Source organism: Homo sapiens, chromosome 2 (genome assembly GCF_000001405.40).
Source record: "Homo sapiens chromosome 2, GRCh38.p14 Primary Assembly".
Classification (NCBI taxonomy): Eukaryota; Metazoa; Chordata; class Mammalia; order Primates; family Hominidae; genus Homo; species Homo sapiens.
In genome coordinates this window covers 178962507-178989895 of record NC_000002.12, presented here as the reverse complement: position 1 = coordinate 178989895, position 27389 = coordinate 178962507, and the positions used below count along the sequence as shown (strand labels likewise).

Below are 27389 nucleotides of genomic sequence, written 5' to 3'. Positions count from 1 at the left end.
AGTGCTGGGATTACAGGTGTGAACCACTGTGCCCGGCCTCCTTTTTTTTTTTTTTTTTTTTTTTTTAAGATTATAGCTATCCTAGTGGGTGTGAAGTGACATCTCATTGTACTTTTGATTTGCATTTTTCTAAGACTAATCATTTGAGCATCTTTGTGTGCACTTGTTTGCCATTTATATATCTTTGTTGGAGAAATGTCTTTTCAAGTCCGTTGCCCATTTTATGATTGTATTGTTGTCCTTTCTATTGTTTTATTTATTTATTTATTTATTTATTTATTTATTTATTTTTTTTTTTTTTTGAGGCAGGGTCTTGCTCTCTCACCCAGGCTGGAGTACAGTGGTATGATCTCAGCTCACTGCAACCTCTGCCTCCTGGGCTCAAGCAATTCTCCTGCCTCAGCCTCCTGAGTAACTAGGATTACAGGTGCCCACCACCACACCTGGCTAATTTTTGAATTTTTAGTAGAGATGGAGTTTCAACATGTTGGCCAGGCTGGTCTCGAACTCCTGATCTCAAGTGACCTGCCTGCCTCGGCCTCCCAAAGAGCTGGGATTACAGGCATGAGCCACTGCGCCCAGCCCCTTTCTATTGTTAAGTTGAAAGAGCTCTTTGTATATTCTGAATACTAGATGCTTATCAGATATATCATTTGCAAACATTTTCTCCCATTCTAAGGATTTTCTTTTTACTTCTTTGATAATGTCCTTTGTACACAAAAGTCTTAATTTTGATGAAGTCCAATTTATCTGTTTGTTGTTGTTGTTGCTTATGCTACTGGTGTCGTATCTAAAAAACTATTGCCAAATTCAAGGTGATGAAAATTTACTTACAAAATTCTTCTAAAAATTTTATAGTTTTAGCTTTTACATTGAGATCACTGATACATTTTGAGTTAATTTTTATATGGTATGAAAGGTAATAATTCAATTTTATTCTTTTACATGTGAATATCTAGTACTTCTAGTTCCACTAGTTTGAGACTATTCTTTCCTAATTGAATGGTCCTGACACCATTGTTGAAAATCAATTGGCCATAGACATATAGGTACATTTCTGAACTCTCAATTCTAGGCCATTACCCTATATGTCTATCCTTATGTCAATACACCATTTTGATTACTGTTGCTTTGTAGTAAGTTTTGAAGTTTAGAAGTGTGAGTCCTCCGAATTTGTTCTTTTTCAAGATTGTTTTGACTATTATGATCCCCTTACAAGTCCACATAAATATGAGGATTATCTCTTCAATTTCTGTCAAAAAGCCTGTGAAATAAAATTTTTATATTGATTACATTGAATCTGTGGATTACTTTAGACAGTATTGCTTTTTAACAACACTAAGTCTTCCAACTCATAAACGTGGGTTCTCTTTCCATTTATTTAGGTCTTCTTCAATTTCTTTTTTTTTATTATTTATTTTTTATTATTATACTTTAAGTTTTAGGGTACATGTGCACATTGTGCAGGTTAGTTACATACGTATACATGTGCCATGCTGGTGTGCTGCACCCACTAACTCGTCATCTAGCATTAGGTATATCTCCCAATGCTATCCCTCCCCCCTCCCCCCACCCCACAACAGTCCCCAGAGTTTGATGTTCCCCTTCCTGTGTCCATGTGATCTCACTGTTCAATTCCCACCTATGAGTGAGAATATACGGTGTTTGGTTTTTTGTTCTTGCGATAGTTTACTGAGAATGATGATTTCCAATTTCATACATGTCCCTACAAAGGAAATGAACTCATCATTTTTTATTGCTGCATAGTATTCCATGGTGTATATGTGCCACATTTTCTTAATCCAGTCTATCATTGTTGGACATCTGGGTTGGTTCCAAGTCTTTGCTATTGTGAATAGTGCCGCAGTAAACATACGTGTGCATGTGTCTTTATAGCAGCATGATTTATAGTCCTTTGGGTATATACCCAGTAATGGGATGGCTGGGTCAAATGGTATTTCTAGTTCTAGATCCCTGAGGAATCTCCACACTGACTTCCACAATGGTTGAACTAGTTTACAGTCCCACCAACAGTGTAAAAGTGTTCCTATTTCTCCACATCCTCTCCAGCACCTGTTGTTTCCTGACTTTTTAATGATTGCCATTCTAACTGGTGTGAGATGGTATCTCATTGTGGTTTTGGCTTGCATTTCTCTGATGGCCAGTGATGGTGAGCATTTTTTCATGTGTTTTTTGGCTGCATAAATGTCTTCTTTTGAGAAGTGTCTGTTCATGTCCTTCGCCCACTTTTTGATGGGGTTGTTTGTTTTTTTCTTGTAAATTTGTTGGAGTTCATTGTAGATTCTGGATATTAGCCCTTTGTCAGATGAGTAGGTTGCGAAAATTTTCTCCCATGTTGTAGGTTGCCTGTTCACTCTGATGGTAGTTTCTTTTGCTGTGCAGAAGCTCTTTAGTTTAATGAGTTCCCATTTGTCAATTTTGGCTTTTGTTGCCATTGCTTTTGGTGTTTTAGACATGAAGTCCTTGCACATGCCTATGTCCTGAATGGTAATGCCTAGGTTTTCTTCTAGGGTTTTTATGGTTTTAGGTCTAATGTTTAAGTCTTTAATCCATCTTGAATTGATTTTTGTATATGGTGTAAGGAAGGGATCCAGGTTCAGCTTTCTACATATGGCTAGCCAGTTTTCCCAGCACCATTTATTAAATAGGGAATCCTTTCCCCATTGCTTGTTTTTGTCAGGTTTGTCAAAGATCAGATAGTTGTAGATATGCGGCATTATTTCTGAGGGCTGTGTTCTGTTCCATTGATCTATATCTCTGTTTTGGTACCAGTACCATGCTGTTTTGGTTACTGTAGCCTTGTAGTATAGTTTGAAGTCAGGTAGTGTGATGCCTCCAGCTTTGTTCTTTTGGCTTTGGATTGACTTGGCGATGCGGGCTCTTTTTTGGTTCCATATGAACTGTAAAGTAGTTTTTTCCAATTCTGTGAAGAAAGTCATTTGTAGCTTGATGGGGATGGCATTGAATCTATAAATTACCTTGGGCAGTATGGCCATTTTCACGATATTGATTCTTCCTACCCATGAGCATGGAATGTTCTTCCATTTGTTTGTATCCTCTTTTATTTCCTTGAGCAGCGGTTTGTAGTTCTCCTTGAAGAGGTCCTTCACATCCCTTGTACGTTGGATTCCTAGGTATTTTATTCTCTTTGAAGCAATTGTGAATGGGAGTTCACTCATGATTTGGCTCTCTGTTTGTCTGTTGTTGGTGTATAGGAATGCTTGTGATTTTTGCACATTGATTTTGTATCCTGAGACTTTGCTGAAGTTGCTTATCAGCTTAAGGAGATTTTGGGCTGAGACAATGGGGTTTTCTAGATATACAATCATGTCATCTGCAAACAGGGACAATTTGACTTCCCCTTTTCCTGATTGAATACCCTTTATTTCCTTCTCCTGCCTAATTGCCCTGGCCAGAACATCCAACACTATGTTGAATAGGAGTGGTGACAGAGGGCATCCCTGTCTTGTGCCAGTTTTCAAAGGGAATGCTTTCAGTTTTTGCCCATTCAGTATGATATTGGCTGTGGGTTTGTCATAGATAGCTCTTATTATTTTGAAATATGTCCCATCAATACCTAATTTATTGAGAGTTTTTAGCATGAAGTGTTGTTGAATTTTGTCAAAGGCCTTTTCTGCATCTATTGAGATAATCATGTGGTTTTTGTCTTTGGCTCTGTTTATATGCTGGATGACATTTATTGATTTGCGTATATTGAACCAGCCTTCCATCCCAGGGATGAAGCCCACTTGATCATGGTGGATAAGCTTTTGATGTGCTGCTGGATTCGGTTTGCCAGTATTTTATTGAGGATTTTTGCATCAATGTTCATCAAGGATATTGGTCTAAAATTCTCTTTTTTGGTTGTGTCTCTGCCCGGCTTTGGTATCCGAATGATGCTGGCCTCATAAAATGAGTTAGGGTGGATTCCCTCTTTTTCTATTGATTGGAATAGTTTCAGAAGGAATGGTACCAGTTCCTCCTTGTACCTCTGGTAGAATTCGGCTGTGAATCCATCTGGTCCTGGACTCTTTTTGGTTGGTACACTATTGATTATTGCCACAATTTCAGCTCCTGTTATTGGTCTATTCAGAGATTCAACTTCTTCCTGGTTTAGTCTTGGGAGAGTGTATGTGTCGAGGAATTTATCTATTTCTTCTAGATTTTCTAGTTTATTTGCGTAGTGGTGTTTGTAGTATTCTCTGATGGTAGTTTGTATTTCTGTGGGATCGGTGGTGATATCCCCTTTATCATTTTTTATTGCATCTATTTGATTCTTCTCTGTTTTTTTCTTTATTAGTCTTGCTAGCAGTCTATCAATTTTGTTGATCCTTTCAAAAAACCAGCTCCTGGATTCATTAATTTTTTGAAGGGTTTTTTGTGTCTCTATTTCCTTCAGTTCTGCTCTGATTTTAGTTATTTCTTGCCTTCTGCTAGCTTTTGAATGTGTTTGCTCTTGCTTTTCTAGTTCTTTTAATTGTGATGTTAGGGTGTCAATTTTGGATCTTTCCTGCTTTCTCTTGTGGGCATTTAGTGCTATAAATTTCCCTCTACACACTGCTTTGAATGCATCCCAGAGATTCTGGTATGTTGTGTCTTTGTTCTCATTGGTTTCAAAGAACATCTTTATTTCTGCCTTCATTTCGTTATGTACCCAGTAGTCATTCAGGAGCAGGTTCTTCAGTTTCCATGTCGTTGAGCTGTTTTCAGTGAGATTCTTAATCCTGAGTTCTAGTTCGATTGCACTGTGGTCTGAGAGATAGTTTGTTATAATTTCTGTTCTTTTACATTTGCCGAGGAGAGCTTTACTTCCAAGTATGTGGTCAATTTTGGAATAGGTGTGGTGTGGTGCTGAAAAAAATGTATATTCTATTGATTTGGGGTGGAGAGTTCTGTAGATGTCTATTAGGTCCGCTTGGTGCAGAGCTGAGTTCAATTCCTGGGTATCCTTGTTGACTTTCTGTCTCGTTGATCTGTCTAATGTTGACAGTGGGGTGTTAAAGTCTCCCATTATTAATGTGTGGGAGTCTAAGTCTCTTCGTAGGTCACTCAGAACTTGCTTTATGAATCTGGGTGCTCCTGTATTGGGTGCATATATATTTAGGATAGTTAGCTCTTCTTGTTGAATTGATCCCTTTACCATTATGTAATGGCCTTCTTTGTCTCTTTTGATCTTTGTTGGTTTAAAGTCTGTTTTATCAGAGACTAGGATTGCAACCTCTGCCTTTTTTTGTTTTCCATTTGCTTGGTAGATCTTCCTCCATCCTTTTATTTTGAGCCTATGTGTGTCTCTGCACGTGAGATGGGTTTCCTGAATACAGCACACTGATGGGTCTTGACTCTTTATCCAATTTGCCAGTCTGTGTCTTTTAATTGGAGCAGTTAGTCCATTTACATTTAAAGTTAGTAGTGTTATGTGTGAATTTGATCCTGTCATTATGATGTTAGCTGGTGATTTTGCTCGTTAGTTGATGCAGTTTCTTCCTAGTCTCGATGGTCGTTACATTTTGGCATGATTTTGCAGCGGCTGGTACTGGTTGTTCCTTTCCATGTTTAGTGCTTCCTTCAGGAGCTCTTTTAGGGCAGGCCTGGTGGTGACAAAATCTCTCAGCATTTGCTTGTCTGTAAAGTATATTATTTCTCCTTCACTTATGAAGCTTAGTTTGGCTGGATATGAAATTCTGGGTTGAAAATTCTTTTCTTTAAGAATGTTGACTATTGGCCCCCACTCTCTTCTGGCTCGTAGGGTTTCTGCCGAGAGATCCACTGTTAGTCTGATGGGCTTCCCTTTGAGGGTAACCCGACCTTTCTCTCTGGCTGCCCTTAACATTTTTTCCTTCGTTTCAACTTTGGTGAATCTGACAATTATGTGTTTTGGAGTTGCTCTTCTCGAGGAGTATCTTTGTGGCATTCTCTGTATTTCCTGAATCTGAACGTTGGCCTGCCTTGCTAGATTGGGGAAATTCTCCTGGATAATATCCTGCAGAGTGTTTTCCAACTTGGTTCCATTCTCCCCATCACTTTCAGGTACACCAATCAGATGTAGATTTGGTCTTTTCACATAGTCCCATATTTCTTGGAGGCTTTGCTCATTTCTTTTTATTCTTTTTTCTCTAAACTTTCCTTCTCACTTCATTTCATTGATTTCATCTTCCATTGCTGATACCCTTTCTTCCAGTTGATCGCATCGGCTCCTGAGGCTTCTGCATTCTTCACGTAGTTCTCGAGCCTTGGTTTTCAGCTCCATCAGCTCCTTTAAGCACTTCTCTGTATTGGTTATTCTAGTTATACATTCTTCTAAATTTTTTTCAAAGTTTTCAACTTCTTTGCCTTTGGTTTGAATGTCCTCCCGTAGCTCAGAATAATTTGATCGTCTGAAGCCTTCTTCTCTCAGCTCGTCAAAGTCATTCTCCATCCAGCTTTGTTCCATTGCTGGTAAGGAGCTGGGTTCCTTTGGAGGAGGAGAGGTGCTCTGATTTTTAGAGTTTCTAGTTTTTCTGTTCTGTTTTTTCCCCCTCTTCGTGGTTTTATCTACTTTTGGTCTTTGATGATGGTGATGTACAGATGGGTTTTTGGTGTGGATGTCATTTCTGTTTGTTAGTTTTCCTTCTAACAGACAGGACCCTCAGCTGCAGGTCTGTTGGAGTACCCTGCAGTGTGAGGTGTCAGTGTGCCCCTGCTGGAGGGTGCCTCCCAGTTAGGCTGGTCGGGGGTCAGGGGTCAGGGACCCACTTGAGGAGGCGGTCTGCCAGTTCTCAGATCTCCAGCTGCGTACTGGGAGAACCACTGCTCTCTTCAAAGCTGTCAGACAGGGACATTTAAGTCTGCAGAGGTTACTGCTGTCTTTTTGTTTGTCTGTGCCCTGCCCCCAGAGGTGGAGCCTACAGAGGCAGGCAGGCCTCCTTGAGCTGTGGTGGGCTCCATCCAGTTCGAGCTTCCAGGCTGCTTTGTTTACCTAAGCAAGCCTGGGCAATGGTGGGAGCCCCTCCCCCAGCCTGGCTGCCGCCTTGCAGTTTGATCTCAGACTACTGTGCTAGCAATCAGGGAGACTCTGTGGGGTAGGACCCTCCGAGCCAGGTGCGGGATATAATCTCGTGGTGCGCCTTTTTTTAAGCCCGTCAGAAAAGCTCAGTATTCGGGTGGGAGTGACCCGATTCTCCAGGTGCCGTCTGTCACCCCTTTCTTTGATTAGGAAAGGGAACTCCCTGACCCCTTGTGCTTCCCGAGGGAGGCAGTGCCTCGCTCTGCTTCGGTTCGCACATGGTGCGTGCACCCACTGACCTGCGCCCCCTGTCTGGCACTCCCTAGTGAGATGAACCCGGTACCTCAGATGGAAATGCAGAAATCACCCGTCTTCTGCGTCGCTCAGGCTGGGAGCTGTAGACCAGAGCTGTTCCTGTTCGGCCATCTTGGCTCCTCCCTCCTTCAATTTCTTTCAGTAATGATTTTTAGTTTTCAATGTACAAGTCTTTCACCTCCTTGGTTAAATGTATTCCTAGGTATTTTATTCTTTCTGATGCTCTTATAAGTGGAATTCTTGATTTCCTTTTTAGATTGTTCATTTCTTTATAAAGAAACACAACCAATTTTTTTGTTATTGATCTTATACTCTGTAACTTTGCTGAATTTATTTAGTAGCTTTAGCATCATTTCTTCTTTAAACATTTGGTAGAATTCACCAGTGTAGTCACCTGGGCTTACTGCTTTCTTATTTGGAAGGTTATTAATTATTGATTTAATTTTTTAATAGATATAGGCTTGTTCAGATTACCTATTTTTTCTTGTGTGAGTTTTGGTAGATTGTGGCTTTCAAGGAATTTGTCCATTTCATCTCAGTTATCAAATTTGTGGACATAGAGCCATTTATAGTATTCCTTTTTATCCTTTTAATATCCATGGGATCAGTAGTTATGGACCCTTTTTCATTTCCAATATTAGTAATTTGTTTCTTTTCTCTTTCTTTCTTTCTTGATTAGCCTGACTAGGGATTTATCAATTTTATTGATCTTTTCTTAGAACTCGTTTTTGCTTTCATTGATTTTCTCTATTGTTTTCATTTTATTGATTCCTCCTCTAATTTTTATTATTTTCTTCTGTTTACTTAAGATTTAATTTACTCTCTTTCTCTAGTTCCTATGGTAAAAACTCAGAAGACTGATTTAGGTTTTTTTTTCTCTCTCTCTCTCTCTCTATATATATATATGTATATATGTATGTATATATATATATATATATATACACACACACACATTCAATGCTACAAATTTTTCTTTAAGCACTGCTGTTGTGGCATCTTAAAAATTTTGATACATCATATTTTCATTTTCTCATTTAGTTCAAAATATTTGTATTTCCCTGAGACTTCTTCTTGGACCCATGTGTTATTTTAAAGTGTGTTGTTTAATATTAAAATATTGTGGTATTTTTGGCTATATTTCTGTTATTGACATTTAGTTTAATTCTTTTGTGGTCTGAGAGTATATTCGTATGATTTCTGTTTTTAAAATTTTGGTAAGGTATGTTTTATGGCCCAGGATATGGCCTATCTTGATGTATGTTCCATGTAAGCTTGAGAGGAAAGTGTGTTATGCATTGTTGGAAGAATTATTCTATAAATGCCAATTAGATCAAGTTGACTAATAGTGCTGTTCAGTTCATCTATATGCTTCATAATTTTCGGCCTGCTGGATATAATGATTACTGATAGAAGGATGTTGAAGTCTCTATTATAGTATATTTATCTATTTCTGCATGTAGTTCTATTAATTTTTGCCTCATATATTTTGAATCTCTGTTGTTAGGCTCATACCCATTTAGAATTGTCATGCCTTCTTGTAGATTGACTCCTTTATTATTACGTAACACCCATCTTAGTCTCAAATAATATTCCTGGCTCTAAAATATTCTCTGTGTAGAATTAACATAGCTACTCAGCTTTCTTCAGACTAGTGTTAGCATGGTACATCTTTCTCTGTCCATTTACCTTTTTTTTCATCCAGCTTTATTGAGGTATAATTGACAACTAAAAATTGTATACACCTAAGTTGTACAATATGATGTCTTGAGGTATGTATACATTGCAAAATAATTAACACATGTTAAATTAATTGAGCTAATTGACATATCACTTCACATTGTTACTCCAATTTATTTACTTTTAATGCACCTCTGCCTTTATATTTGGAGTAGGTTTCTTGTAGACAATGTATACTTGAGTCTTATTATTCTTATCCACTCTAATAGTTTCTGCTGAACCCAGGAGGGGTAGAGCAAGGGCACGTAAAAATATCTCAAAGCTTTTCTACCATTTTTAAGTCACCTTTTTCTTGCTTCAGCCTTAGTTTTGTTGCTGTAAATCTTTGACTACTTTCCAGAGTTCTAACAAAATTAGGACAGTTTTTGCTTGCATTTTTTTTTCTTTTTTTGAGACAGAGTCTCGCTCTGTTGCCCAGGCTGGAGTGCAGTGGCACGATCTCAGCTCACTGCAAGCTCCACCTCCTGGGTTCATGCCATTCTCCTGCCTCAGCCTCCAGAGTAGCTGGGACTACAGGCGCCCACCACCAGGCCCAGCTAATTTTTTTGGATTTGTAGTAGAGATGGCGTTTCACTGTGTTAGCCAGGATGGTCTCCATCTCTTGACCTCGTGATCTGCCCGCCTCGGTCTCCCAGCGTATTTTGATGTTTCTCTACAGGAATGGTCCCTTGAAGCTATCTACTCTCCAATTTTTATTGACATCTTTCAGCTGTTTTAATATTTCATTGGGTTTTTAATTAATCAAAACTTAAAAAATCAGTTCTAATATTTTAATCTAACCTGCTAATTTCTGATTTTGTATTAAATCAGTTTATCCCCCTTAATTTGTTTATTTTTTAAATAATTTAGTCCTAGATGTTGAGATTATGTTCTTTCTTTAAAAACAAGTTGTCTAATACTACGTATTTTATCTGAGCATAAGGTTAGCTATATATTTAAAGTTTTTAAATGTAGTAGCCTTATTATTACTTTTAAAAGCAGTCCATAATTGTAGTTCTTGTTATCTATTTGTTTGATGTAAGACTGGTTATATCTACTTGAAATATTTCAGTGCCACAGATACAAAGGTTCATGAGTGTCTTTACTGTGGATTGCACTATTTATCATTATAAATGCCATTTTAAAGCATCAGTGATTTTTGTTTTGATTCTAATTTATTCAGTATTATAGTCCTGCTTTCTCTTGTCTGTCTTTGCCTGATATAGCTCATCTCTTTATTTTCAAAAAGTATTTCTTTTTAGGGATACTCTAGCAAACACAAATTGGTTGAATTTTGTTGCCTTTTTTTCCTCACTCTGATAGTGTTTGTCTTTTTGTTTAAAAAGTTAACTCATCCACATTTTTTGTGTTAATTGATATTTAATTATGTACTTGTCATTATGTTTGTGTGTGTCCTTATGAACCTGCTCTTATTTCTTTTGTTTTCTTTGTTGTATTTTTCTTTATCACGTTTTAAGTTCCTTTTTATGTTGATATTTTAGAATTTATTCATACTATTTTAGTCTACTGTACTCTTTAAAAATTATGCCTTTATTTTGGTGTCAACTTCAAGAATTATATGGATCTTATTGAATCCTCCTATCCCTGAATGAGACAATTATGTAAGCACATGTTCCTTTTCATTTTTCATATTTTGTTCAAACAGTAGATAATGTTGGTTATAGATATCTTAATTTTTAAATTATGACTATTCTGGTTTAAAAATCTACTCTTAATATTTACATTAATCGTCACGGTCATATTAACAACTAATGACAATTATTTGCAATAAACTAAGCTTTACTGGGCTTGTTTCTCACAACCTTTATTCTTGATCACTCTTCAGGGTGTGTTCTTATTACTTTTCTTATTTTTTTTGGAACTGTTAGATTAACATAATATTCTATACCCCTTGGGAATGTAGACATGTGTCTTTGACAGATGTCAGCAGTGTTTGGACAATGTTTAAATGTGAACGCCCTTAGCCTGGCCATGCTTCCTGGCTCACCTCAATCCTGATCGCTCCTTCCTTCCTGTTTGATACACCTTCTTGCATAACAGTTTGTGTTTATAAATTCTGTTTCCTAGACCACATGCAATTTCTACTATCCAAGTGTTTAAAATGTGATCCTGTGTTCTTACATTAAGTTAACACCCTGCCTTATGCCTTTTTCTTTTGTACTTAGGCTTTGGAAGATCGGGTATGGGAACTCTTGCAGGAAGCAGACAAGACAGCTGAAGAGAACAAGGATCAGAGTCAGGTCTATGATGCCATGGCCGAGACTCTGGGTGAAGCATGGGCAGCTCTGGTGTCCATGCTTGAAAGAAGAACAGAGCTCCTTAGGTTGACTTCTGAATTTTTTGAAAATGCCTTAGAGGTTTGTACTTTAAAAAACTTCTCCCTTCCCCACATCAGAGCAAATGAATAGCACTCCTGAAAATGTTTATTTTTTCACAAATAGACATTGCAAGCAGTTAAAAAAATGGCAGAATAACCAAAACATACATACACAATATATTTAATTTTTGATTGTCAAAAAACAAAATTATTACTATTTTAAGAGTAGATCTTCAAACAAAAACAAAGTACAGTTAAATAACTAAAATTTGGTAAAATATTAAGTAATAATGGGAACACTCATAAGTCATTACGATTATTTCCCTCTATAGAAGGTAGTAATACAGTTACTAAATCAAACAATTACCTGATGGTAGGATTACTAAGAAATGCTGGTCTAGAGTGTGGTTCTTGGCTAAAAGTTGGAGAATAAAATTTCCTTTTGCTGCCTATGTTTTAAAAAGGCAATTATAGAATATTCCATAGGATATTTGATTCATAAATATAGCATTTTATAAGTACTTTCCTAAGGCGTATAGTTGATTTTCCATAGTTTGAACACCTTACAATACAAGAGAAGGAAAAAGTCCTCCTAGACCTAAGAAGGTCATGTCTCCATGTGATTTTTCTCGAATTCTACAATTTTTTGAGGTTTCTAATTTCAAAATATGAGAGTTCAAAGAACATTATCAAAAGAGGTGTTATATTTGGTATAAGACAGTTATTGGAAATTTCACTTTTAACTTCTGTGTCAGGTGGCAGCCCATTCATTTTGATGTAAGAGCACTGCTTCATTATGATAAAGCATTAGCTTTGAAAAATATGACATTTTAAACTAGAAATTCAGGACTTAAATCCAAAATAATGAAGGAAAGAAGATTAGTAATAGAAACTAAAAATTGGAGTAGGCAATCTCATGCATCATGAACTTGTTTAAAAGCAAAAGGGAGGAATAAAAACCTTATTATAACTTTCAAGGCTTGTTTTTCACAATTTGAACACCGAAGTTTAACTCATTTCAGAGACCATCTTGGAAAAAGTTTCATACACCATCTTTCTTCCCTGAAAAGAAATGAAACAGCTGAAATACACCTACAGAGGCCAAATTATAGCTATATCTGATTCACTCTATCTTAGTAAGTAGGGTATAGGTGTCAACTGTCCTTGAAACTCAGCTCTTTTGAGCCCAGGAAATTTTCTTTTTTTCTAGCATTGGAGCAATATTTGTTTCTCACTGTGTTTTAGTGTTAATGTAGCTTATTTTCTCCATGATGAGTAAATTCCTTTCAGATATAACATGAAGTAAAAGGAAATAGTAGGCCAAACCATAATTAAGCCCAACACTCTTATACTTACACTTGCGTGAGCTTTTATTGAATCTAGTGAAAAGACTAATTATTTTTTGTATTATCCTGTTTCCAATTTTGTGGATCACTTCATACTAAACTGAAGACAAACTCCTATATAATCCTTATGTCCCCTTTGTATGCCAAAGCCATTTTTATTAGTGATATAAGAGAGTGGAGAAAGGAAAATACTGATAAAAGTAAACAGAACTTTAGGAAAACTTTTTCTGAGTAAAGCATTGTTTGCTTATTGGTTTATTTATTTTTAATTTTATAACAAGCTGAAATATAAATATAAGTTAAACAGTGACCCTGGAACTTTTTCTAATGTTCTGCAGGTAACAAACAAACTACCTGCTAGGAATTTTCTTTTCTTTTTGAAGATTCTCTTTAAATAATATTTTAAAAATCAGTTATTAGAAATTGAATTAGAGATGTAAATGATGTGGATATGACCCCCTTATTGAATTATGTGCATGTAGGAGTTTTTGAGAAATGAAAAATTACTAATAATTGCATGGCTGATCATTATTACAAGATTATTTCAGGCTCACAGACATAACTGTCAGTTGGGTTATTCTCACCTCGAACACTGTGCTATAATTTAGGAACACTGCCCCTGATTGGCAGCAGCAGATGTCCATCAGGTTGTTCTAATAGGATGACAGAGGCCTTCCTTGCATTTCCAAAACATGTCCCATGCTCTTCAGTCTCTCTCTCATCATTCTGTTTCACTTATAATTGGATTTCATATGGCTGTTGTAATAAACTACAGTCGATTGTGTTAATCAAATAGTTACATTAAAATATTAAGAATCCCCAAATTCAAAAATGATAGTTTGGAGAAGACTTGAAACAGAAGATAAGTACCGTGGTAAGCTTCTATGTCTGATACTTTTCCTTAATTAGTTTATTCTAAACCCAATCCAAAGGTGGATATATTAAAATGCTCATATAAATTGTGATAATTACTGTTGAATCTTAGTGCTAAAACAAGCCAACTATTTGTCTACCACTATAGACATACTGTGACAGGATAATCAAATATATTTTGCCATTCTAAAATTTGTTTCTAAGATTATTTTCCTGAGCATTTTAACATCACGTTAATCATCTCTCTCAATCTCCCACTGCCTCTATGGAGAAAAAGAAAAAAGACAGACCAGTTATATTCCTCACCATTTAGAGTGTGAAATTACTATGCATTTTCCTTGAAACAGGGAATAAATTTCTCACTTGTCATTCTTGCTCCATCTAATCTCATTTTATTTATAGATGTAATGCATACAAATTATTGATAAAAATGCAAACAGAATTACAAATTATAGATTTAAATATTAAAATTTTACCTCCTCTCACTCATCCTTAATTTCATTTCTTCTCATTAAGTCACCATTTGGTGTGTATTTTTTGAGACCAATTTCTATACAAATATATATTTTTTTGCTTTGTATAAAATATTGGATTAGACTATGTATTATTCAGAAACTTGCATATTTCACTGCTAAGTTCAATTTTAGAGGGAAAAAATAACTATACTTCTACCTTCTCTCTAAGTGAGTTCCTAAGCTACATTTACTTGTAAATGTATAGACTGCTTTTTAGTTAACCTTTTCTTGGTTTCCCTTAGCTAACTTTCTGCTTATTCTTAACTAAGTGCCTTAGAATGTTGAAAGTGACTGTATACATAGGACACTATAATTTTGGTTGAAAAATTTAATAGGCATTTGGACAGTAAACAGGTTGGTTTATTTCAGCCTATATAATTAGGTATGAAAGGAGAAGAAAGTTCTTACCAATGACACTTTGTAAATTGACCACATGCAAACACACACCCTCATGCAAACACTGTAAGCCAAAACACACACAAACACATACAAACATATGCACTTGCATAATCACACATCCTCAGTTGGGCTACTAATTTATGAAAAACATCTCCAGGTAACTAACAATGGCACGTTAATTTTTATACAAATGTCAAATGTCTTTCCTCTGTATTTCTATTGTAGTTTGCTATTAAAATAGACCAAGCTGAAGATTTCCTCCAGAATACTCATGAGTTTGAGAGTGCTGAGTCCTTAAAATCACTTCTTCAGCTTCATGAACATCATACTAAAGGCAAGAAATATGTTTATTTCTCACAGAAGTGTTTAGAGGTTTTAAAAGATGTTAATGTGAGAATGCTTATGTATGATAGTGTATTTTAAATTGATCTATTTATGTTTACCTCAGCTTGTTCCAAGAAAAGTTAAAGCTTCATTTTTAATCATCTTCTGAAAGAAAGAACTAGTTGTGAATATTCTGAGAGGATGGTAGAGGATATGCCTCCAGGAGATTCTGTTATTTGGTGTGCTAGAGTTTAGCTCCTGAGGACAGAGGCCATTTCTACCTTGTTCATCCCTTTACCCTTAGCATCTAGCAAGGTTCCTGCCACATGGTAGATCCTAAAGAAATTTTCTTAGTTGAATAAATCATTGAATTCAGTGAATGTTCCTTCTAAGGGTCAATAAATGAAGGTAATTCTTTAAAAAGCAGGTCTGAATCAGCAAAATTCCTCTTTCACCATTGCAGTTAAAAAAATGGAACAGTGAATTTTTCCAGATGAAAATCTAATAAAACACTCTACAAAAAGATTTTCAGTTCCCTCTGAACAACTAGAAAGATAGTCTAGTTGTTAACCAACAATTTGTATGCCAAGCCTTTCTACAAGAATTTGGTGTGGGCCAGGAGTGGAGTAGGGAAACGCATTTGTGGAAAAGTAGTAGTTACCTGTCATCTTTTGCAATGGAAGGAGGTTAGATAAATTGATAGAAACAACCGTTTCTTTTCTGCCTAATATGTCTTCTAATTTTACTGCCAAATAGAATAGGGTCTGGATAGAAAGGTTTCTTGAATTCATTTGTCACAGTTCTAACTTGACTTCTAGCTCCACCAGCCTGTCATTCTGGATAGGACCAAAAGGTGTTTTAAAGTCACAAATAGATTTAGTGTTTATATTACCCTTCAAAAGACTCTAGACAATAGATCATTATGATAAATTACTTATTACAACTTTCTAAAACTCAAAGATTAAAGGACTCAATCTTTCCTATGTAAGATTAAAGGACTCAATCTTTCCTATGTAAATTCTTATGAGATCCTACCAAATACATATATATAATTTCCACTGATTATTGTTCTATAGGACCTATCACTAATAGGGATTATAAAAAGCATCAAAAGTTTGTGCTTTAAAGCAACAGTTGCCCATTATTATACAGCAGTAGTAATCTAGCTAGGTCCAAAGGAAATGAGTAGAATCACGTGAAATTCCTCCTAGGAGACTGGAAGGCAACAGATGGGTTCTGTAGTCTCAATTCAATCTTCTTTCAACCAACATGATCATCACACAGCAGTTTTACCTCCAGAAACCTGACAATGATGGATGCTATTATTGAAGAGTTTCAATACTGAGGCAATCAAATGAAAGCATTCTCCAGAGGGACTGGGGGCTTGTAGAAGTAGGGGCTTTTCCATACATGTTTGGGAATGGAGCTGGCAGGGGGAATGTAGTCTTAATGCTGTTTTGTTGTTGCTACTGCTGTTGGCTCCTTCAAGTTCCTAGGATCTGCGGCACTGTGGGCCAGTTTATATGGGGCACATGCTGCTTTGTTTGCACTTCTTTGGCATCCAGCTGACAGTGAAACTGATGTCTTGCTTTTCAGGGGTACCAGCCTTCAAGAGTCCACTGGGTGTCCTTAGTCTGAAGAGATGGATAAAAATGCTAGTGGAAGACAGGAAACATAGTTTATTTTTATGATGAAAAAATATTCTTCCATCTTGATGACATATTTATTGTGAGAGTTTGTGCCCTTCTGTGTGATACTTGAAGCACAGAGATGACAGAGAACTCTGGTCAGGATACTTGTTCCCAGTTCATATGCCCAGTGGTGGCTTCAAGGGTTTTTGTTTTCATAAAACAAAAAAATGAAGTTGATGCAATTTATTAACCAACTAATTCCATGGGATATGATTAAGATTAGCTGATTTGAAATGCATATTAAAGGGTGAAATTCTGATTTTTTAGTTGAGTGCTTCATATCTATTACCTTTAAATTTAAGGAAATAAAATATGTCTATAAGTGCAGCTAGCCATTCTAGTAAGTTTCTGAGATGTTAATCAGTTGAGTAGTACAAAACATGAGTGTTAGGATGACAAAAGCTGGAAAAACTATAATCAAACTTACCCCTAATAGTCACTTTATTTCAATTAGCTTCACCTATGCTTTCTCCTTATTCAGCAGTGCTAAGGCTCCCTAATATGTAAGAAACTTATTCTTTAACACTACGGAAGTTAGAACCAGGATTAATGGGTTGATATTTCTGCCCCCTGGAATGTTTCAGAACAAGTTGGTTCCCTCCACCACATAACAATCCTTGAAAGAGAGGGAATAATATACCTTCTCCTGACTTCTCTCCTTGGGGTTAAAATTACCTAGTTAGTTAAAGTCTTTTCCAGCAAATATGGTTTCCGGATTACTTACTGGCCTGGTTGCCCTCAATCCAAAACACATAATTAAACACTGTTTTCTGAACCCATAACCTCGTGAGAAATCCAGGGCCATGTGTCAGGGGAGTACGTGGCCATTTTCCTCAGGAAGCCTGCAGTTTAGCAGGACATGTACACATTCGTTGGTGACTCCCTCTATACTTCCTGTGGGTACTTCAGTACATCACCTCACACACTGTGTAGTAATAATTTATTTTCTTATTTATCTTCATCATCAGGTTGTGAGACCCTAGATCTCCAAAGCTGAGAATAGTGTCTAACCCAAAGTATATTTGTTGCGTGTTATTTGTATATAATTCCAATGTACGACATGGCAGAATGATGCAAAAGTGAGCAACAAACGAAGTGCTTTAGGGACATTAAGGAGAAGAAAATTTACTCTAAGCTCCAAAGAATGACAACTGCACCCTCCAGTTTTCTAAGGGTCTTCTTAAAATGAATGTAAGAACTGAGAAGCTGCTTCACAGGAAGGATCATATTACTTCTTTTTCCTTCTTGGATGTTGTATATATCTTTTTTTAAATTTATTTTTATTTAGGTTTTTTTTTAAATTATATATTTTAAGTTCTGGGGTACATGTTCAGAACGTGCAGTTTTGTTACATAGGTATATATGTGCCATGGTGGTTTGCTGCACCCATCAACCCGTCACTTACATTAGGTATTTCTCCTAATGTTATCCTTCCCCTAACCCACACCCCCAGACAGGCCCCGGTGTGTGATGTTCCCCTCCCTGTGTCCATGTGTTCTCATTGTTCAACTCCCACTTATGAGTGAGAAGATGTGGTGTTTGGTTTTCTGTTCTCATGATAGTTTGCTGAGAATGATGGTTTCCAGCTTCATCCATGTCCCTGCAAAGGACATGAACTCATCCTTTTTTATGGCTGCATAGTATTCTATGGTGTGTGTATATGTGCCACATTTTCTTTATCCAGTCCATTATTGATGGACATTTGGGTTGGTTCCAAGTCTTTGCTATTGTGAATAGTACCGCAATAAACATACATGTGCATGTGTCTTCATAGTAGAATGATTTATAATCCTTTGGGTATATACCCAGTAATGGGATTGCTGGGCCAAATGGTATTTCTAGTTCTAGATCCTTGAGGATTCACCACACTGTCATCCACAATGGTTGAACTAGTTTACACTCCCACCAACAGTGTAAAAGCATCCCTATTTCTCCACATCCTTTCCAGTATCTGTTGTTTCCTGACTTTTTGATGATTGCCATTCTAACTGGTGTGAGATGGTATCTCATTGTGGTTTTGATTTGCATTTCTCTAATGACCAGTGATGACGAGCATTTTTTCATATGTTTGTTGGCTGCATAAATGTCTTCTTTTGAGAAGTATCTGTTCATATCCTTTGCCCACTTTTTGATGGGGTTGTTTTTTTCTTATAAATTTTTTTTTAATTGAGGTGGAGTCTCGCTTTGCCACCCAGGCTGGAGTGCAGTGGTGCAATCTCAGATCACTGCGACCTCCACCTCCCTTGTTCAAGTGATTCTTCTGTCTCAGCCTCCCGAGTAGCTGGGACTTCAGGCCCACGCCACCAGGCCCGGCTAATTTTTTTATTTTTAGTAGAGATGGAGTTTCACCATATTGGCCAGGCTGGTCTCAAACTCCTGACTTCGTGATCTGCCCGCCTCAGCCTCCCGAAGTGCTGGGATTACAGGCGTGAGCCACTGTGCCCGGCCTTTGTCTTGTAAATTTGTTTAAATTATTTGTAGATTCTGGATATTAGCCCTTTGTCAGATGGATAGATTGCAAACATTTTCTCCCATTCTGTAGGTTGCCTGTTCACTGATGATAGTTTCTTTTGCTGTGCAGAAGTTCTTTAGTTTAATTAGATCCCATTTGTGTATTTTGGCTTTTGTTGCCATTGCTTTTGGTGTTTTAGACATGAAGTCTTTTCCCATGCCTGTGTCTTGAATGGTATTGCCCAGGTTTTCTTCTAGGATTTTTATGGTCCTAGGTCTTACATTTAAGTCTTTGATTCATCTTGAGTTGATTTTCATATAAGGTGTAAGGACGGGGTCCAGTTTCTGTTTTCTGCATATGGCTAGTAGGTTTCCCAACACCATTTATTAAATAGGGAATATTTTCCCCATTGCATGTTTGTATCAGGTTTGTCAAAGATCAGATGGTTGTAGATGTGTGGTGTTATTTCTGAGGCCTGTGTTCTGTTCCATTGGTCTATATATCTGTTTTGGTACCAGTATCACGCTGTTTTGTTTACCGTAGCGTTGTAGGATAGTTTGAAGTCAGGTAGTGGGATGCCTCCAGCTTTGTTCTTCTTGCCCAGGATTGTCTTGGCTATGTGGGCTCTTTTTTTGTTCCATATGAACTTTAAAGTAGTTTTTCCAATTCTGTGAAGAAAGTCAGTGGTAGCTTGATGAGGATAGCATTGAATCTATAAATTACTTTGGGCAGTATGGTCATTTTCACAATATTGATTCTTCCTATCCGTGAGCATGGGATGTTTTTCCATTTGTTTGTGTCCTCTCTTATTTCCTTGAGCGGTGGTTGGTAGTTTTCCCTGAAGAGGTCCTTCACATCCCTTGTAAGTTGGATTCCTAGGTATTTTATTCTCTTTGTAGCAGTTGTGAATGGGAGTTCACTCATGATTTGGCTCTCTGTCTGTTACTGGTGTATAGGAATGCTTGTGATTTTTGCACATTGATTTTGTATCCTGAGACTTTGCTGAAGTTGCATATCAGCTTAAGGAGATTTTGGGCTGAGATGATAGGGTTTTCTAAATATACAATCATGTCATCTGCAAACAGAGACAATTTGACTTCTTCTCTTCCTATTTGAATACCGTTTATTTCTTTCTCTTGCCTGACTGCCCTGGCCAGAACTTCCAATACTATGTTGAATAGGAGTGTTGAGAGAGGACATCTTTGTCTTGTGCTGGTTTTCAAAGGAAATGCTTCCAATTTTTTCCCATTCAGTATGATATTGGCTGTGGGTTTGTCATAAATAGCTCTTATTATTTTGAGATACATTCCATTGATACCTAGTTTATTGAGGGTTTTTAGCATGAAGAGGTTTTGAATTTTGTTGAAGGCCTTTTCTGCATCTATTGAGATAATCATGTGTTTTTTGTCATTGGTTCTGTTTATGTGATGGATTACGTTTATTGATTTGCATATGTTGAACCAGCCTTGCATCCCAGGGATGAAGCTGACTTGATCGTGGTGGATAAGCTTTTTGATGTGCTGCTGGATTTGGTTTGCCAGTATTTTATTGAGGATTTTTGCGTCGATGTTCATCAGGAATATTAGGTCCCATTTGTGGGCTCTAAAAGAAAAAAATTTTCTTTTTTGTTGTGTCTCTGCCAGGCTTTGGTATCAGAATGATGCTGGCCTCATAAAATGAGTTGGGAAGGGTTCCCCCTTTTTCTATTGTTTGGAATAGTTTCAGAAGGAATGGTACCAGCTCCTCTTTGTACCTCTGGTAGAATTCAGCTGTGAATCCGTCTGGTCCTGGGCTTTTTTTTTTTTTTTTTTTTTTTTTTGGTTGGTAAGCTATTAATTACTGCCTCAATTTCAGAACTTGTTATTGGTGTATTCAGGGATTCGACTTCTTCCTGGTTTAGGCTTGGGAGAGTGTATGTGTCCAGGAATTTATCCATTTCTTCTAGATTTTCTAGTTTATTTGCATAGAGGTGTTTATAGTATTCTCTGATTTGGTTTGTATTTCTGTGGGATCAGTGGTGATATGCCCTATATCATTTTTTATTGTGCCTATTTCATTCTTCTCTCTTTTCTTCTTAATTAGTCTGGCTAGCGGTCTGTTTTGTTGATCTTTTCAAACACCCAGCTCCTGGATTCATTGATTTATTGAAGGCTTTTTAGTGTTTCTATCTCCTTCAGTTCTGCTCTGATCTTAGTTATTTCTTGTCTTCTGCTAGATTTTGAATTTGTTTGCGGTCGCTTCTCTAGTTCTTTTAATTTTGATGTTAAGGTGTCAATTTTAGATCTTTCCTGCTTTCTTTTGTGGGCTTTTAGTGCTATAAATTTCCCTCTACTCACTGCTTTAAATGTGTCCCAGAGATTCTGGTACGTTGTGTTTTTATTCTCATTGGTTTCAAAGAACATCTTTATTTCTGCCTTCATTTCCTTATTTACCCAGTAGTCATTCAGGAGCATGTTGTTCAGTTTCCATGTAGTTGTGCGGTTTTGAGTGAGTTTCTTAATCCTGAATTCTAATATGATTGCACTGTGGTCTGAGAGGCTGTCTGTTATGATTTCCGTTCTTTTGCATTTGCTGAGGAGTATTTTACTTCCAATTATGTGGTCAATTTTAGAATAATTGTGATGAGGTGCTGAGAAAAATGTATATTCTGTTGAATTGAGGTGGAGAGTTCTGTAGATGTCTATTAGGTCTGCTTGTTCCAGAGCTGAGTTCAAGTCCTGAGTATCCTTGTTAATTTTATGTCTCATTGATCTGTCTAATATTGACAGTGGGGTGTTAAAGTGTCCCACTATTATTGTATGGGAGTCTAAGTCTCTTTGTAGGTCTCTAAGAACTTGCTTTATGAATCTGGGTGCTCCTGTATTGGGTGCATGTATATTTAGGATAGTTAGCTCTTCTTGCTGCATTGGTCCCTTTACCATTATGTAATGCCCTTCTTTGTCTCTTCTGATCTTTGTTGGTTTAAGTCTGTTTTATGAGATTAGGATTGCAACTCTTGCTTTTTTTTTACTTTCCATTTGCTTAGTAAATATTCCTCCATCCTTTTATTTTGAGCCTATGTGTGTCTTTGCACATAAGATGGGTTTCCTGAATACAGCACTCTAATGGGCCTTGACTCTACCCGATTTGCCAGTATGTGTCTTTTAATTGGTCCAGTTAGCCCATTTACATTTAAGGTTAATATTGTTATGTGTGAATTTGATCCTGTCATTATGATGCTAGCTGGTTGTTTTGCCCGTTAGTTGATGCAGTTTCTTCGTAGTGTCAATGTTCTTTACAATTTGTTATGTTTTTGCAGTGGCTGGTACAAGTTGTTCCTTTCCATGTTTAGTGCTTCCTTCAGGAGCTCTTGTAAGGCAGGCCTGGTGGTGACAAAATCTCTCAGCATTTCCTTGTCTATAAAGGATTTTATTTCTCCTTCGCTTATGAAGCTTAGTTTGACTGGATATGAAATTCTGGGCTGAAAATTCTTTTCTTTAAGAATGTTGACTATTGGCCCCCACTCTCTTCTGGCTTTTAGAGTTTCTGCAGAGAGATCCGCTGTTAGTCTTTGTGGGTAACCCGACCTTTCTCTCTGGCTGCCCTTAACATTTTTTCCTTCGTTTCAACTTTGGTGAATCTGACCATTATGTGTCTTGGGGTTGCTCTTCTCGAGGAATATCTTTGTGGTGTTCTCTGTATTTCCTGAATTTGAATGTTGGCCTGCCTTGCTAGGTTGGGGAAGTTCTTCTGGATAATATCCTGAAGAGTGTTTTCCAACTTGGTTCCATTCTCCTCATCACTTTCAGGTATACCAATCAAACGTAGATTTGGTCTTTTCACATAGTCCCATATTTCTTGGAGGCTTTGCTTGTTCCTTTTTCTTCTTTTATCTCTAATCTTGTCTTCTCACTTTATTTCATTAAGTTGGTCTTCAATCACTGATATCCTTTCTTCTGCTTGGTCGATTCAGCTATTGAAACTTGTGTATGCTTCACGAAGTTCTCCTGCTGTGTTTTTCAGCTCCATGAGGTCATTTATATTCTTCTCTGCACTGGTTATTCTAGTTAGCAATTCGTCTAACCTTTTTTTCAAGGTTCTTAGCTTCCTTGCATTGGGTTAGAATATGCTACTTTAGCTCGGAGCAGTTTGTTATTACCTACCTTCTGAAGCCTACTTCTTTCATTCGTCAAACTCATTCTCCGTCCAGTTTTGTTCCCTTGCTGGTGAGGAGTTTTGATCCTTTGGAGGAGAAGCAGCATTCGGGTTTTTGGAATTTTCAGCCTTTTCGCACTGGTTTTTCCCCATCTTTATGGATTTATCTACCTTTGGCCTTTGATGTTGGTGACCTTCAAATGAGGTTTCTGAGTGGATGTGCTGTTCCTTTCTGTTTGTTAGTTTTCCTTCTGACAGTCAGGCCCCTCTGCTGCAGGTCTGCTGGAGTTTGCTGGAGGTCCACTCCTGACCCTGTGTGCCTGGGTATCACCAGTGGAGGCTGCAGAACAGCAAAGACTGCCACCTGATCTTTCCTCTGGAAGCTTCATCCCAGAGGGGCACCTGCTAGACGCCAGTCAGAGCTCTCCTGTATGAGGTGTCTGTCACCCCCTACTGGGAGGTGTCTCCCAGTCAGGATACACAGGGGTCAGGGACCCACTTGAGGAGACAGTCTGACCCTTATCAGAGCTCGAATGCTGTGCTGGAAGGTCTGCTACTCCCTTCAGATCTGTCAGGCAGGGATGTTCAAGTCTGCTGAAGCTTCGCCCATAGGCGCCCCTTTCCCCAGGTGCTCTATCCCAGGGAGATGGGAGTTTTATTTCTAAGTCCCTGACTGGGGCGGCTGCCTTTTTTTCAGAAATTCCCTGCCCAGAGAAGAGAAATATGGCAGTCTGGCCACAGCAGCGTTGCTGAGCTGCAGTGGGCTCCCACCAGTTCAAACTTCCCAGTGGCTTTGTTTACACTGTGATTGTAAAACTGCCTACTCAAGCCTCAGCAATGGCGGACGCCCCTACCCCCACCAAGATGGAACGTACCGGGTCGATCTCAGACTGCTGCTGTGCTGACAGTGAGAATTTCAAGCCAGTGGATCTTAGTTTGCTGGGCTCTCTGGGGGTGGGAACTGCTAAGTCAGACCACTTGGCTCCCTGGCTTTAGCACCCCTTTCCAGGGGAGTGAAGAGTTTTGTCTCGCTGGTGTTCCAGGTGCCCTGGGGTGTGGAAAAAAAGAATCCCTGCAGCTAGTTCGGTGTCTGCCCAAATGGCTGCCAAGTTTTGTGCTTGAAACCCAGGGCCCTGGTGGGGTGGGCACTGGAGGGAATCTCCTGGTTTGTGGGTTGCGAAGACCATGGGACAAGCACAGTATCTGTGCCGGAGTTCCTCAGGCTGTCCCTCACGGCTTCCCTTGGGTAGGGGAGAAAATTCCCCTACCACTTGTGCTTCCTGGGTGAGGTGACGCCCCATCCTGCTTTGGCTCGCCTTCCATGGGCTTCACCCACTGTCCAACGAGTACCAATGAGATGAACCGGGTACCTCAGTTGGAAATGCAGAAATCACCTTCCTTCTGTGTCAATCTCTCTAGGAGCTGCAGACCCGAGCTGTTCCTATTCAGCTATCTTGCCAGCAATCGTGGATGTTTTTTGTATCTTAAACCTAGCTAGGGCATACATTCCTGGTGGCCCATTACACTATTATCTCTACTTTTGTCTCTATTTGAAAATACCTGTTAATTATGTTCAAGAGAAACCATCCCACTGGGGAACATTTAGAATATTTTTTAAAGTATTAGGAAGAAATATCTTACATGATCTCAGGACCAAGATGGTGACCTTGATGCATTTTAGAAAGTACTCATTTGGAAAGTTTATTTAACAAGCTGTAAACCTATCCACATTGTGTATACCTATTATACCATCTTAAATTGGTTATTTATACTTAATAATTGTGGCAAACTATAGAGGTATTAATATAAAATATGATGTATTTTATGAACTTTAATGATAATTTTTTAGATAGATTGAAAATTAATCAAAACAATTAATGAAAATTTATCGACTATCTTCTAAGTTCATATCACAAGGTATTGTGTCAGTAAGTAGGATTTCGTATGTGCTGATATACAGTCTTTAAAATAAATTGACTGTAAAGATGTTCTTGAAGGTCACAGTATATCTAGACAGTTTACTCTTGGGGAAAAACACATCACTTTGTAAGATCAACTGATGGAATAAATAGCTAGGAAAATGTAAACTGTGAAAAAGAAAAACGTAAGAAACTGAAAGACCAAGGGAACTGGCAGAGGAAACTGAGGGGAGAATCCATCCACCTCAACAGCCATCGTGGTAGCAGGTAACAGACTGACTCAGCCTGGATACATTTTACAAGTTAATGCTGGCTCAGGAGGCTGTGTGCCTGGCAATACTGTGGTAGTTGTTATGTTATTTTGGCAGAGGGTGAAACAGAAAACCAGAAAAAAAATTTGAATTTTAATTTTGGCTAATTGTTCATATTCTCATGGGAACCATAACAGGTTGACCATTAGTCTGCAATACCCTGAGGGCCTAAAGTTGTGCCTCCCTCTCATTTGCAAAGTCTAATGTGTAAGAGTTAGTTAGAGGAAGGAAACCCTGTGGAGACCCTGTTGCCTTCCCAAACTTCTCGTGTGTGGGCTGTATGTGTGTGTGTGTGTTTGCGTGTAGCTGTTCACAATATCATAACAAGCTCTTCAATGCAAAGGAAAAATACTATTTCCCTCTATATATAAAAGGAGACTCCATCATACTTCTTACTTCATTAAGGCTATACAAATTAAACTATTCAGTCTGATAGGCAAGGCCTGCTATAAGCTGCTTTTACCTCATTTCACCAGGTGTGTCTTGGACCTCCCCATAAGAACTTGTTCTGAACAGACAGATCTTTTCCTGAACCCTACCCCCAGCCCCATCTTGTTCATGTTTGCTTCCATTTCTTTTTTCCAAAGAAATTGACTTGAATTATAATGTTCTCCCTGACTTTTCTTACGCTATTTACATTCTCCCATTCTTCTCACCTGGTTGAATTCTGTGGTTGTTTTTGTCATTCGTTTCTTTACGTTGTTAACTCACAATCAAATTGCCCAGGGAACATAATCACACTCTCGTCATTCTGAGCAGATACTACTAGCTAATATTTTACAGGACTGATCTAGGTCATGTGGAATAAACTACTTCAAATTATTTCCTTTTCATCTCAAAATGCCTTTTTACAATATATTATCTCATTCTCTCCTCCAGCTTTCCAAAAAAAAAAAAAGTGTCAATTGAAAGAGAAAACTGGCCCAACTACCTCAGCCTACATCATTGCGGTGTAATAAACTGCCAAAAGTTATAATGCTGTAGTTGAGTGCATCCCTATAGTGGAAAGAACACTGAGCTATACTAATCACAAGTCTTGAGTTTCAGCACCAGTTCAGTCCATTTTTATTAGTATCTGGCTTGGTAAGATGCTTAGTCTCTGAGTGTTCTCCATAGTTCCCCCAACCTGAAAAAAACAAAAAAAAACAGTATATTTGACGCTGTTATTCTTTCGAGATACTGTCCTAGCATTTTCTTTTCTTCTAATAACAAATGTCTCAAAGATTGTCCTGAGTGTTGCCTTCCCACTTCTCAGCTCACTTTCTTCTCACTTCTCATTGCCTTCTCACTCCTCAACCTGGTAACTTGGCTTCTGTTTCCATCACAAAACCCAAAATCTTCTTCTCAACTTCTCTTTTTTACATCTCTGGGGAACTTCTGATCTCTAACATTTGTAGCTCCCCCAATTTCCAACCCCTCTTTCAAAACATTTCTTCTCACTCAAGCATTCTACAAAAATGATTGCAAATTTCCTGTGCCAGTCACTGTGCTAAGTGCTGGGTGCAGTCATGGTCTCTATCCTCATGTTGCAGTGGAGCCTAGTGGCAAAGACAGACATTAAGTGTGAGAGTATTTGATCCCATCTGATTTGTACTTTGAGGAAGTGACAGTTGACATGAAATATGAGTACGGTAAAGATAACGAAGGAGGGTGTTGAGGATGTGAGTGGACATAGTGAAAAGTTCAGGGTCAGGAGAGAGTATAGCATGTGTGAGGAATTTAAAGAAGATAAGAATGAAAAGTGGAGAGACTGAGACAATTTGAAAAGGAAGGAAGAGACTAGACCATGTCAGACATAGTAATCTACATTAAGGGGTCTGTCTTTAATTTTAAGGCATTGGGGTGCCATTGTTGTAAGTGTGAGTGTGTGTGCATGCGTGTGTGTGTGAGAGAGACAGAGGAAAGAAAGAAAGAAGGAAAGGAAAGAAAGAAGGAAAGAAGGAAAAGAAAGAAAAGAAAGAAAGAAAGAAGGGGAGGGAAAGAGATGCTATGTTTAGAAAAGATCGCTGTGGCTAAAGTCTGGTGCATTGATAGATGGATTGGAGAGAGGATA

General features: G+C 37.9%; 1 protein-coding gene across 20 annotated transcripts in view; it reads left to right on the top strand.

Annotated features, from left to right (window-relative positions):
• Positions 1-27389, top strand: part of CCDC141 (coiled-coil domain containing 141) — a 235160-nt gene that overhangs the window by 60242 nt on the left and 147529 nt on the right. For all 20 annotated transcript variants that reach the window (XM_047443998.1, XM_047443994.1, XM_047443993.1 and 17 more), the window contains exons 3-4: positions 11221-11412; positions 14731-14839. In XM_047443998.1, coding sequence (XP_047299954.1) covers positions 11221-11412; positions 14731-14839 — 301 coding nt within the window. The remainder of the gene's footprint in view (positions 1-11220; positions 11413-14730; positions 14840-27389) is intronic.